General features: G+C 47.8%; 1 protein-coding gene across 6 annotated transcripts in view, besides 2 other annotated features; it reads left to right on the forward strand.

Annotated features, from left to right (window-relative positions):
• Positions 1-12,116, forward strand: part of GRHL3 (grainyhead like transcription factor 3) — a 45,126-nt gene that overhangs the window by 2,718 nt on the left and 30,292 nt on the right. For 4 of the 6 annotated variants that reach the window (NM_198174.3, NM_001195010.2, NM_198173.3 and 1 more), the window contains exon 2: positions 9,352-9,538. The exons of 1 other annotated variant lie outside the window; for it this stretch is intronic. In NM_198174.3, the coding sequence (NP_937817.3) occupies positions 9,352-9,538 (187 nt within the window). Of the gene's footprint in view, positions 1-965; positions 1,044-9,351; positions 9,539-12,116 lie in introns of those variants that run through there. One more of the 6 variants, NM_021180.4, reaches the window with a different exon arrangement.
• Positions 23-540: an enhancer, noted in NCBI's record as "NANOG-H3K27ac-H3K4me1 hESC enhancer chr1:24648587-24649104 (GRCh37/hg19 assembly coordinates)". NCBI's record gives its function as "activates a minimal SCP1, AML or CMV promoter by ChIP-STARR-seq in primed H9 embryonic stem cells {active_cell/tissue: H9 hESC(primed)}" and the evidence as "EXISTENCE:reporter gene assay evidence [ECO:0000049][PMID:30033119]".
• Positions 541-1,056: an enhancer, noted in NCBI's record as "NANOG-H3K27ac hESC enhancer chr1:24649105-24649620 (GRCh37/hg19 assembly coordinates)". NCBI's record gives its function as "activates a minimal SCP1, AML or CMV promoter by ChIP-STARR-seq in naive H9 embryonic stem cells {active_cell/tissue: H9 hESC(naive)}" and the evidence as "EXISTENCE:reporter gene assay evidence [ECO:0000049][PMID:30033119]".

Below are 12,116 nucleotides of genomic sequence, written 5' to 3' on the forward strand. Positions count from 1 at the left end.
ACCTGTTGTTCCCCTCTGGAGGGCCGGCCGGCGCTCCAGGCAGGCCCCGTTGACAGCCCAGGAAGGGAGAGTTTCGCCGCAAAGGGGCTTGGCACACAGTAGGTCTAAGGCACCGAGGCAGGAGCGTCCCCCGCGGCCTCGCTCCCTGCTCTCTGGGCCCCACCGCTGCCGCCTGGAGTCTCCCCTCAGCCTCGCAGAGACGCGACTCGGTTGGGGGAAGGGGACTAGAACCGTCGCAGTCCTGACCGCGGCCGCCGCCGCCGTTCTATCTGATCTCCAGGAGCGCCGGCTCCAGACTGCCTGGAGCGCTGAAAGAGTTAATCAGGAACGCCTCCCCGCTGTGGTTTTGTGGTCGAAACCATGATTGCCAGGAGCAAATTTTTGTCGTGCACGAGGTGTGTTATTAAAAGTCGGAGCTACGCTGCTGCTGAATGAAAAGTTAAAAGCCCTCTTTGAGTTCGGGCTGTAAAACTGGCGGACTGGGCCGAGAGGCTTGAGCCAACCCTAACGGCGGCGGCCCGGGCGGCGCGGGGGTCCTGCGGCTCCGCCAGCTGCTGGGAGCGGGCAGGCTGCGCAGTCCCAGCAGTGAGTGGCCGCAGCCAGGCGGTCGGCAGAGCTCCCACTGACCCACCGGAGGAGTGAAGAGGGAAAACGGGGCTGAAACCCAGATGGGATCATCCAGCTTTCTCTTACGTTAGAACAAAAATGACAGCCAACATTTATGGAGCGCTGACTCCGCATCTGACATTGTGTCGAGTGCTTGATAAATACACGCTCTTCTTTAAACCCTCCCAACAAACTAATGCGGGATGGGAGTGTAAATGCAGTTTTGCCGAAGAGGGGACCCAGACCTGGTTCAGGCTTGCCCAAGGTCTCACGGAAGCACTGGGATCTTAACCGGGTCTTAGCCGAGCAGCCATAGGCCACCCCGCTTCCTCTGTGCTTAGCCTCTGAAAAGAAGACAGAGGAGATGTGCCAAACTGTTAAGAGTGGTTATTTCTGAGCAGAAGAATGTGGATGAATTCCATTCTTCCTATTTTTCTGTAGGTTCTACATGTTATATATTTGTTGTATTTTACAAACCTATGTTACCTTTGGAGTCGTTAAGGGGAAGAGAGGGAGTCATTATTTTGAAAGAGAACACCTAGAACAGTGTTCTCAAACTGTGGTCCGTGGACCATCATCATCATCATCATCACCTGGGAACTAGTTAAAAATGCAAATTCTCAGCCCCACCCTAGACCTACTGAATCAGAAACTGGGGGTATGGCTCAGCGTTATGTGTTTTCACAGGCCCTCCAGGTGATTCTGATGCGTGTCCAAGTTGTAAAACTGTTGGCCTAGAAGACCAGGCAGAGGACTGGGAAGCAGGAGGTTCCCAAATCCACTACTGACCTGCAGTGTAGTTGCTGAGTCAGCAGGCTGAGAGCTTAGTTCCAAGATCACACCTGTGTTTTAAGCCCAGCTCTGCCACCTATAGATTGGGTGACTTGGATGAGCTCCTTAACCTAAGTGTCAGTTTTTGCCCATGTAAAATGATGATAAAAATACCCACCTCACAAGGCATGTATGAGAATAAAAAGGCACAAGGCCTGACTCTATGAAATAATTGAGTTCCTTTCCCTCTCTTGCCTTCCCTCCCCTCTCTGGAACTCAGCTTTCCTATCTAAAATGCCGCAAATAATCCTGGCTGGCTGCCTCCCCCTCTCTATTCCTTTTGCCTCCTAAAAAGGTTAGAACAACTGACCTAGTGAAAGTCTTGAAGGGAAATTATCTCTCCGTTATTTGATGGTATTTCTCTAGGCTTTTCCAGGAGGTCAGCAAGAATTGGGAACTTTCAAGGGCAGGGACCGAAAGGGGACAGAACAGTGTAGCCACATGAATGGCAGTGGCCTTCACCTTTTTTGTCCTCAGCACCCAGTACGTGGCCATTTACAGAGTAATCCTCAGTGAATGTTTGTTGAGTGAATCAGTGAGTGAATAAATGAAGGGATGTGGCACCCCCGGGTTTACAGGTGGATTTCAACTTCTTTCACACCTCAGTTGAACAATAGATGGGGGGAGAAAAGGAAAATTAGACAAGACACCAAGAGGAGAATATAGCATGAAAGAAAAATTCCCATACAGGGAAGAATTTTTAAAATAGCAGAAACTCACTTTCTTCTCTAATTAGGAAAGGGCACCTAGATAATTTACATGCAACTAAAAGTGTCTGCTGCAGCCTGACCACCGTCAACTTGCCCACCTGGGTCCTGACGATGAAGCTGGTAGTGCGTGTTCCTCTTAAGTGGAAATCTCCAAGCATCAGGATGATTCTGCCAGCTAGGAAGAGATATCCCGATTCATAGGCTGGAAAAGGCTGTGAATTGTGCAGTTTGCTGGGGACTACCCCACAAAGTATTAGTAATAATAATAAAAGTAGTTCACATTGTTATGTGCTGGCACTATGCTGATCGCTTTACCTGCATTACCTCATTGCATCTTCCAACAGTAATACTTCACAAAGTTGTAAAAAACAAAGACAATGACTAGAAGTTGTTAGCCAGCACCCGGTACTTGGTAATCCCTCAATGAACGGTAGCTCTCATAGCAATTCTGTGAGGTTAGCATTCTCATTGCCTCACATTTTGCAGGTAAGAAAACAGGCACAGAGATGTCAGGTTGCTTGCTTAAAGTCACCCAGTAAGTAGCAGAGCTGGACCTGGAACCCAGGTCTGCAAAGCTCTGGGCCCACTCCCATAACGATGAGTTCATACTGCCTCATGCAAACTGGAGTCATTACAGAGCCATGCCCTACACTCTGCCATTTCCCCATTGAGGCCCCCAAATGAGCCCCCAGCCCATGTGACGAGGCACATTTCACAATCTGTACACCCAGAAAACCAGATGGGCCACTGGCAGGCACGAGAACCCTGGGGCGCCCCTGTCGTGCCCAGGGAACATCGTGTGTGGGGCTGACTGGAAAATGATTCCTCTGTGAGCAGTTGTGTCAGGGCCTCCCTGTGGGTGATTAGAGAGTGATTGATCACTGTTAATGAGGTTGGGTGGCTCATGGCAGGATTTAGCAAGTCATTGGGAGTATCTGGGTGTCAACACCCAGCTCAGGCGGCCCCTGGAACTCTTCCTTCTCTGGCTGAAGGGAAGTGGGGTCTAGCCTGCTGGATCTGTCCTGTGCCACACACCTTCTTTGGTGGAGCTTGAGACCACCTCCTTTGGTGTTGGGTTTTCTTCCCACCTTCTGGAAAGTTGAGTGAGTACTTTCTTTTCTGTAGCTTAACTACTGAGTCCCATCCTGCCGTATGCTGCATGTCCTTAGGCAGGTGCCTCTCTGGAACTAGACCTCTGAGGTCTGTCTGCATCCTAAATTGCTAGGATTCTAACAGAAGGAAATGATACCAAAAGTTCTCAACTGATGGCTGAGACAGCATTTCCTTGGTCTTATTGGGGGTTTTAAGTAGCTCAGCCAGAAAGCAGTGGGCATTTTGACTCAGAAGAGACTTGTTGGGATGAAACCCCACTTTACCACTCTAGACTTTCACCATCCTGGTGCCCAGAATGAGGCATGTTGGAGCCATGAAGGCTGAGGCTGACTGGGCATGGAGCAGCTGGCACCACACCCCTGTTGTGCCGAGTGCCAGTGAACTGGGGAAAGGTCCCATCCCCTCCTCCCAGAGCACTGGCCCCGGCAATTTGCACTTCCTCACAGACTGGACGGGAGGCCTCAAGAAGTGAGGCCTATCAGGTAGACCCCTGAGCTCCTCTCTCTTGATCTTGTTGCCTGCTCTCTCCTAAATGGAGGAGAAGCCAGACGGGGAGACTCTGAGGAGGCGGCTCTGTGAAGGTTCTGGATGCTGGGAGCCAGAGACCTCAGTTCTAGGCCTGATGCCTTGAGGTACAAGCTCAGTGGCCTTAGGCAAGCCAGTGGCCCTCTCCATGGCTCAGTTTTTCCTCAAATGAGGACAGTCATAACTTCCCTCCCTACCTGACAGGGGCGTTGTAAGATCAGAGGTGATGACAGATGTATGAGAAGCACATTGAAAAATATAACACTATGCAAATGTGAGGGATTATCAAATCTTGGATTTCCTCCTTAGTGGGCTGGCTTTCCTTAAAACAAGGTGGCATATGCAAAGTACCTGGCTCACACCTGGCACACAGTAGGCGGACAAGCTCTGGGAGCTGTGCCAGGCTGATGCCTTTGATCTTGCCTTTCCTTTGATCTGGAAGGTCCAAGGTCCTCCCAACTCATCTCCATTCTCCCTCTTCCCCTCCACCCCTCTTCTCCTCCACCCCTCTTCTCCTCCACCCCTCTTCTCCTCCACCCCTATTCCCCTCCACCCCTCTTCCCCTCCACCCCTCTTCTTAACCAACATCCGTCACTCCCTTGGGTTCAGGCAGGTCAGAAGTCCTCTTGTTTCTTTTTCTTCATAGCTCTCTTCACCCATCTAATGTTAACTGTTTGTTTTTGTGGTCATGTAGGTCTTACTGCCACTAAAATGCAACCTCCGTGTCGGCAGGGATGACCTCGTTATCTTATTCTCCCAGGACAGGTTCTGGCACATAGTAGTTACTTGATAAATATTTGTTAAAAATGAGGGATGGATGGTTACGTGGATGGATGCCACCCAGGTTTATTGCTTTTTAAATCTCTCCTACATCCCTTCTTGGAAAGTAGTAGTTTTTTCCCTCTTGAGAAAGTGCTAGCCATAGAGTTCCCAGGCCAGACCCTAGGAGTCCTGGCTTCACTCATTCAGTACCCTGCAACAGGTCACCTAACATCTCTATTGTATATTTCCTGGTCTGTAAAGTAGGGATAATAACACATCATGTATGTTGGGAGGCTCTATGAGATAATGGAAGTTGGGCAAGGTGTTATTACACTATCTCTTTTGTTTCTTTTGAACAGAACCCCATTCACAGACAGGAGGCTTGTGGGAGGATGAAAATTTAAGAACCTCAGGCAGAGTATCCCCTTTACTCCCATTTGGAGGTTCTGGGATGATGATGGTGATGATGGTTATTATTAACTGAGCAATTATTCTCTGGCAGGCTCTAGGTTAAACACATTTCCTACCTTAATGTACTTAATTCTCCTAACAACCCATGAGATGAACCCTACTGTAAAGTAGCCACCCCTATTGACTCTCCATTATCTTACTATGTTAATTTTCTTCATAGCACTTATTACTAACTAAAAATAACTAATTTACCTACTTGTTTATGGTCTATCTTCCCCAATTAGATTGTAAGTTCCATGGAAGCAGAGTCTTATCTGTCTCATTTTAGTTGATTCCCAGTGCTCAGAAGAGTCCCTGACTGGCACACTGGCACATAGAAGACACTCAATAGACCCATTTAACAGATGAGGAAATAGAAGGGCTAAGTGCCTTACCCAAGGACATGTAGTTAACAAACCCATACACTGTGACCCTGGTGCTGCCTCCTTCTATGTGCTGCAGGTTCAGGTGTGCTGTGTCTGGTAGAGATCTGATGGCAGGCTATCCATGGCAGGTCTTCCCTCCTCCCTCATTTTCCTTTTCACTTTCTGATAGTTTAGTTCAGTCTTGGACAAGGACACCAACAGAGAGTTTGTGGAGGCCCCAGGGAAGCTGACCTCATAGGTTGGGAGTCCCCTGGTTTCCCTTCTTTCTTCTGGCCCTATCACCCATGAGTAGGACTCACTCCTTCTTAGAACTCTTTTCACATTGATCCAGTATCAGCTCCTGGGACAACTTATTTTTTTCCCCCTCTCTCACCTACTGGCTCCTCAATCCTTATTTGTAATCTTTAAGAGACCAGAGAGCCAAAAGTTCTTGGATTTTAGGATTCAACACACAAGTCAATACTAACCTTATTCATTAAGACTTTCTAGAAGCCAAATTCTTAGTTCTAGAACATGAGGTTATTGGTGGCAGGAGCAGGCATGGGAACCAGGGCATTGGGACTCCCAGCCCCTGACCAGAAACTCTTCCAGTCATCATCTTGCCGCCTTCCTCCTGCCTTGTGTGGGTGGGAAATTCCTTTCTGCCTTGCAACAGAGAATTAGTTCAATGTATTTTGAGAAGGGAAATTTCCAGAATAGGAAAGGCATCTAGAAAAGAGACTAGCACAGGGCTTGAATGCTTTACTGTGTAGTCCGACAGCTCCAAGTTCAAGCTGAGCCTCCATCACTTATTGGCTGAGTGACCTTGAGCAGGTGATGTCACCTATTTGAGTCTCAATTTCCCCTTCTATAAAAGGAGATGATAATTCCTATCTCTCAGGGCTGTTGTGTGGAGTAGATGAGATGACACACAAAAACAGATGGCACTATGTTTGCCAGTGGTAAGTGTTTAAAGTACAGAAGCTGCTGTTTATCAAGGAATCAGACTTTGGGATACCAACAAGATAGATTGGAGACCTTATAGGCCAAGAGACCCACCCAGGTGAATAGCAGACATTGTCTGTTCTTTTGTTTCGGTGTCACTTTATCGTTGTCTTCTAAAATTTATCTTTTTTAAAGGGTAAGGTAACTCACAGCATCAAAGCTGATAATGGTCAACCCCTAGAGTCAGCAGATTGGGGCTCCAGGCCCAGACCTGCCACTGACTTGCAGAGTAACCATGTCTTCTACCACTTTGCAACCCCTTGATGTCTTGCCCCAAGCTGACCTGGAACACAGTGATGGCTTGCATGAATTACACACTTGTTTTGTGCCAGTCAGAGTTTTAAGCATTTTCTTGTGCTGATGCGTTATCCTCATGATATTATTTGGTGGGTGCTTTTATTAGACTCGTTTACAAATGAGGAACAGTGCTAAGCACTGGTGGTCCCTGTTGATCCAGGGGGTGGGATCAGTCAGGCATTTCCCTGCTTTTCCCATGCCTCGTTGGTTGGGAGTTTCCATTAGCTCCGGGCTGGGCAGACAGTGAGGGTGGCCACCCTGGACTTGCTCAGTAAATTCTTCTAAACCCCAGGCCCAGGAAGCAATGAGGAGGGGCCTCTTCTCACCTCTCCTTGAGGCCCCTTGATTTATAGCAACAGAAACTCAGGGTGTGCCTCCCGCTCTCCGCACCCCTAGAACAGGAAAGTTTCTGTCATTTCTCTTTCCTGCGTGACAGCTCCACCTCCCTTCCTCTCAGAGCCCAGCTCCTCACACCTTGGGGCCTGGTGGGATGGGAGACACTGTCCTGGATGAAGCCGCTGGGAGAGCTGCCGCCTCCTGTATGCTGAGGTATGGCCTGGCCTGCTGTTCCCACTGCAGTCTGAGGATATGGGCCCTAGTGGCCTGGCAGCAGGAGGGTACTTCATGCACCTGATTACAGGGGTCTCTGCCCACCCACTAGTCTGCCACTGTGCCACAGTTTTACCACAAACACATTTTTCTGCTGTGATAAAGACTGCACCCCTGCATCAACGGAAAAGCAGTGTGGCTGCGTGGCAAGTGTGTGCCTTTGTGCTCGATAAGGCTGAGTTGAAATCCTGGTTGTCTCACGGACCAGCTGGATGATCTTGGACATTTTCTCGTTCTCTGCAAGACTCAGGTTCCTTTATCTTAACAGACGAAGCAAATGATCCTTACCTTGTAGTGTCCTTGTAAGAAGCACGGCCTAACGAACAGAGAACATTCATATGCATTATCGTAAATGGCAGCTGGCATTGTTCTTAGGTCCCTAACATGGGAGATTCTGCCTGGCCCATGTAGAAAGGGAGGCACTGGGAAACCAGGAGACCAGCCAGTGCCCACTTCATCTCTGGGGCTCTCTCTTCATAGCCTGGACCACCCCATCTTCATACACTCTTTGCTCTAAATTGAACACAACTAGAACTTTTCTGCTTCTATGCCTTTGTTTGTGGTTAAGAGCATGTGCAATAACCAGTGATTCTTCAAAATGTGGTCCCCAGACTACCAGAATCAGCAGCACCAGGGAAATCGCTAGAAATGTACATTCTCAGCCACCCAGAGCCAGTGAATCAGACACTCCAGGGGTGGGGCCCAACAATCTGTGTGTTTTTAAATTAATTTTAAAATAATGGACATATAATAATTGTACATATTTATAGAGTACAGTGTGAGATTTCAGTGCACCTTTACATTGTATAATGACCAAATCAGGATAATTGCCATATTTATCACTTTAAATATTTATCATTTCTTTGGGATGATAACATTAAAAATCTACTCTTCTAGATATCCTGAAGTATACACTACATTGTTCTTTGCTGTAGTCACCCTGCTGTGAAAGCGATCTATGTTTTAACAAGCCTTCCAAGTCATTCTCATGCAGCTAAAGTTTGAGGACATTATTCTGTACCATTGCATCACCCTGAAGGAGCTTGAATCCCCTCTGGGCCACTCACTTACTGGGACCTTGGACAACTCTCAACTTATCTGAGCTTCAGTTTCCTCCACTGTATAATAGGAATAATAATAGTATCTGCCTTGCAGGGTTGTTTCAAGTAACATGGTAATTTATGAAATGTGCTTAGCTAGTGCCTAACGCATGGCCAGTGTTCAATAAAGAGTAGCTATTATTTTTCCATTCTTATTTTTCTGTTAGGTCCCTGCTCCTTCCCCACATTGCTGAGTGAAATAATCCCCAGTGCTGAGTTTCCCCAACTAAAATGTCTGCCTGCTCCAGAAAGCCTTTCCTGATCTCTTTCCTTTGAGCCCTTGTGGCTTGTCTCTTGAGCGAGATAATGCCTTGTATTTGTCCAAGCTTCTCAGCACCAGTACCCGGGTCCTTCCTGCCTCTGTGTGCCCTGCAGCCTTCAACTCCAGTTCCTGGCTTCTGAGCAACTGCTCAAAACTCTACAATAAAATTGGCCTGAAATGCCATTTCCCAGACCAGGTTCTGCCTAAGGGCTTCCTCGCCCTGGCTCTCTCTGTCATAGACCACGCTTTCTCCCAGACTTGAAATGATCTACGCCTTCTGTGCCTTTCACAGTCTTGAGGACAACTTCTTCAGTAGAACTCATGATGGGTTATCTGGAAATTTTATTCGTATCACATTGCAGCTTATCATTGGCATTTCCCATTCATTACACGAATTCTCTTTGAATAAGTACGCACTATGAAAGTATTTTATTGAATCCACTCTGTAGTCTTGAAGATCAGGATGATGGCCTTCATGCTGTGGAAGAGGGAACTAAGGCCCAGGTCAACAGCTTCTACATGGCAACATTTGGAATCGATCCAGCTCCAGAGTTTGTGTCCATTCTGCTGCCCCACACTGCCTAATGGTGGCAGAAGAGGCAGTTTCATGTTTTCAAAGCTAATAACTCTGAATTCCTGGGCGTTGGCCTGCGGCTGCCCATTCACGGACCTTCCTCTGGGATAGCCTAAATTTGACTCTCCTTACTTGCATTCAGTTTCAGGTCTGTGCGGCTGCTAAAGAACGACCCAGTCAACTTGCAGAAATTCTCTTACACTAGTGAGGATGAGGCCTGGAAGACGTACCTAGAAAACCCGTTGACAGCTGCCACAAAGGCCATGATGAGAGTCAATGGAGATGATGACAGTGTTGCGGCCTTGAGCTTCCTCTATGATTACTACATGGTACGTCTACCCCCTCTGGACATGCCCCGTTTTGACTGAATGGGTGTCTTCACTTCAGGCCTCATGGCTCAGCAGCCCACCATGACCACCCCAGCCCCTCATCTCTGGGCCTTTGCACAATGCTGTTCCCTCTGCCTGGCACCCTCCCTTTCCCATGGCTAACCCCTACTCTCAACTTGGGGTCTCAGCTTAAATGTCACTTCATTCATTCACTGGAGAGGAGGCTTTCTTGTCTGGGTGCCCTCAGCAACCACCATCGTCGTCCTTGATGCCATCAAGAATGCTTAGAGGCTTGCTGTTTACACATTTATTTCTTCCATCTTCTGCACGAGACTAAGCTCCTAGAGGATCATTACTGAGTCTTCAGCACACCATACAGCCTGCCACACAGTCTGTGACACGTGTTGACCAAGTGGACAGTGCCTGACCCACTCGTTGCCTGGTCCAAGCACATTCTGTGACAGCAACACTCTCATACCCCACCATCTTCTTTTTGCCCCTGTCCTCGGATCTTACGTTTCCCTGTCATCCCAACCTACCTGGTACAGCCCCACCACCTGGAGTATACCTCCTACTCTTTAACCCATTCCCTTCCTTCGGGGCCTTCCCAAGGCCCACCTTCTCTTAGAAGCCATCTGCCACCTCATCTCCCTCTCCTGAGGGTCTTACTGTCTTTCCTACTCCAGCTGCCATTATGTCTTTTACTGTTCTCTAACTACTTCTAGGGTCTTGGCCTTGTCTCTGAGAGGCTGTCAGCTCCTGAGAATAGGAATTAGGTCCTCCCATATCTGATAAGTAGGGGTTGGACCAGTCAGGAATCACGAGGGTATAACACATGACACAACCCCCCTCCCACCTCCAGTGCGTGTGCTAGACATTGCTAATGGATTGCAGCCTGCATTCTCATGAAGGGCACAGGAGGCTGCAGAATCTTTGTCAATGTAGTAATCCAGGTAGGCCCTACTTATCTGTCTGAATTGTCACAAGACAGCAAACTGACTTGCTGTCCCTGGGCTGGGTAACTGCTCCAAGAAACTTTCCTAGATTGGGGGATGGGGGCACACAGCTAGCCAATTATTGAGAAACTTGAAGATTTAAAGCCACCTTGTACAGAAGACCTCAAACTTACTAGCCCAAGAAGTGTTTTATCCACTCTACCTCAAGAATAAAGGCAAATTCTTTGTTTGAACTGAGAGGCCAAGTGGGTTCCAGATAGGAGAAAGCCCAAAACTATCCTCTGGCTTTGGTTCTCCTTCTGGAGTGGTCTGGTTACCCTACCTCCCTCCTCCCCGGCAGACTGGTGGCATCCAGAGAGTGTTCAGCCCAGGTCGATGGAAGAGGAGTTTGAATGGCTGCCTTGGCTTGGGGCCATGGTAGGAGCCAGAATTCTAGATCTAGGTTCAAACTGCAGCCTGGGATTTATAGGTTGAGGATCGACCATCAGATACAATCCAACTCCTTGTCCCCTTGGCAAGAAGCCATTCCAGGGCCAGTATGGTAGAAGAGAGGCTCTGAAGGTGACATTGATAATACTGGTTTTAGCGAAGTACAGTGTCTCAGTGAGATACACCTGCCCTGGCCTCCCCATTCCAGAGCACTCTGGATTCAGAGCAGCCCCCTGGACAGTGATGACATGGTCTGATGGTGTGGAAGGAGCACCAAGTCGGGAATTTGAGACCTAGTCCTGCCACAAATCTGGCTTCGGGTAATATAGTGCTAAAGGCAACTGCTTACCATTTCTTATTGAATGTCCACCACTGTGTCAGGCACTTTCCTTCATACTCTCTTGGGGTGATTAAGAGTACAGGCTTTGGAGGCTATGCTGGGTTGGGGTCCTGGTTCTAGCTGTATCAGCCTTAGAGACAAATGCATTAGAATGTTCTAAGATATAACAATATTATAATTATACTCATGAAAGGTCACATTTATATAGTGCTCTCCATGTGCTAGGTGCTATTCTGAGTGTTCAAAGTGACCCCCTGAGTTTGGTATTATATGATGATCTCTGTACAGATGAGGATATGAGGAATGGAGAGGTTAAGGGACTTGTGTAAGGTCACACAGCTAGTATGTGGTAGGTCTAGGAACTGACCCCAAGAAAGCTGGATTCAGAGTCTATGCTTGTAAGTACTAAGACAATAGAGTCTCTCTGAGCCCCCATTTCCTCATCCATAGAATGGTGATGATACTAGTAGACATCTCAGAGTGACTGTGAGGATTAAGAGATGAGAAGGCACTTAGTACAATGCCTAGCCCATATGAAGTACTCTATTAAAAAAGGGAGTATTTTTTATTAACAAATATTCATAATCCCCTTTAAGTAGGTATTATAACCACTCACTTGACATATGAAGAAACTGAGTCTCAGAGAGGTGTAGTCATTTATCCAAAGTCACAGTGCACTTTCAAGTGGCATTTCTAGGACTTACGCCAGGCCTGCCTGACTCCAAATTTCATGCTCCTTAACTATCAAGCTTGAGGTTCTTCTTCCCACTCCCTGACTTGGGGCTCAGACTAATCATAGCTAGAGCTCCAGCCAGTGGGAAGGACTGGAGGGTTTTCTAGTGAGCAAGTGTAT

Source organism: Homo sapiens, chromosome 1, assembly GCF_000001405.40.
Source record: "Homo sapiens chromosome 1, GRCh38.p14 Primary Assembly".
Classification (NCBI taxonomy): Eukaryota; Metazoa; Chordata; class Mammalia; order Primates; family Hominidae; genus Homo; species Homo sapiens.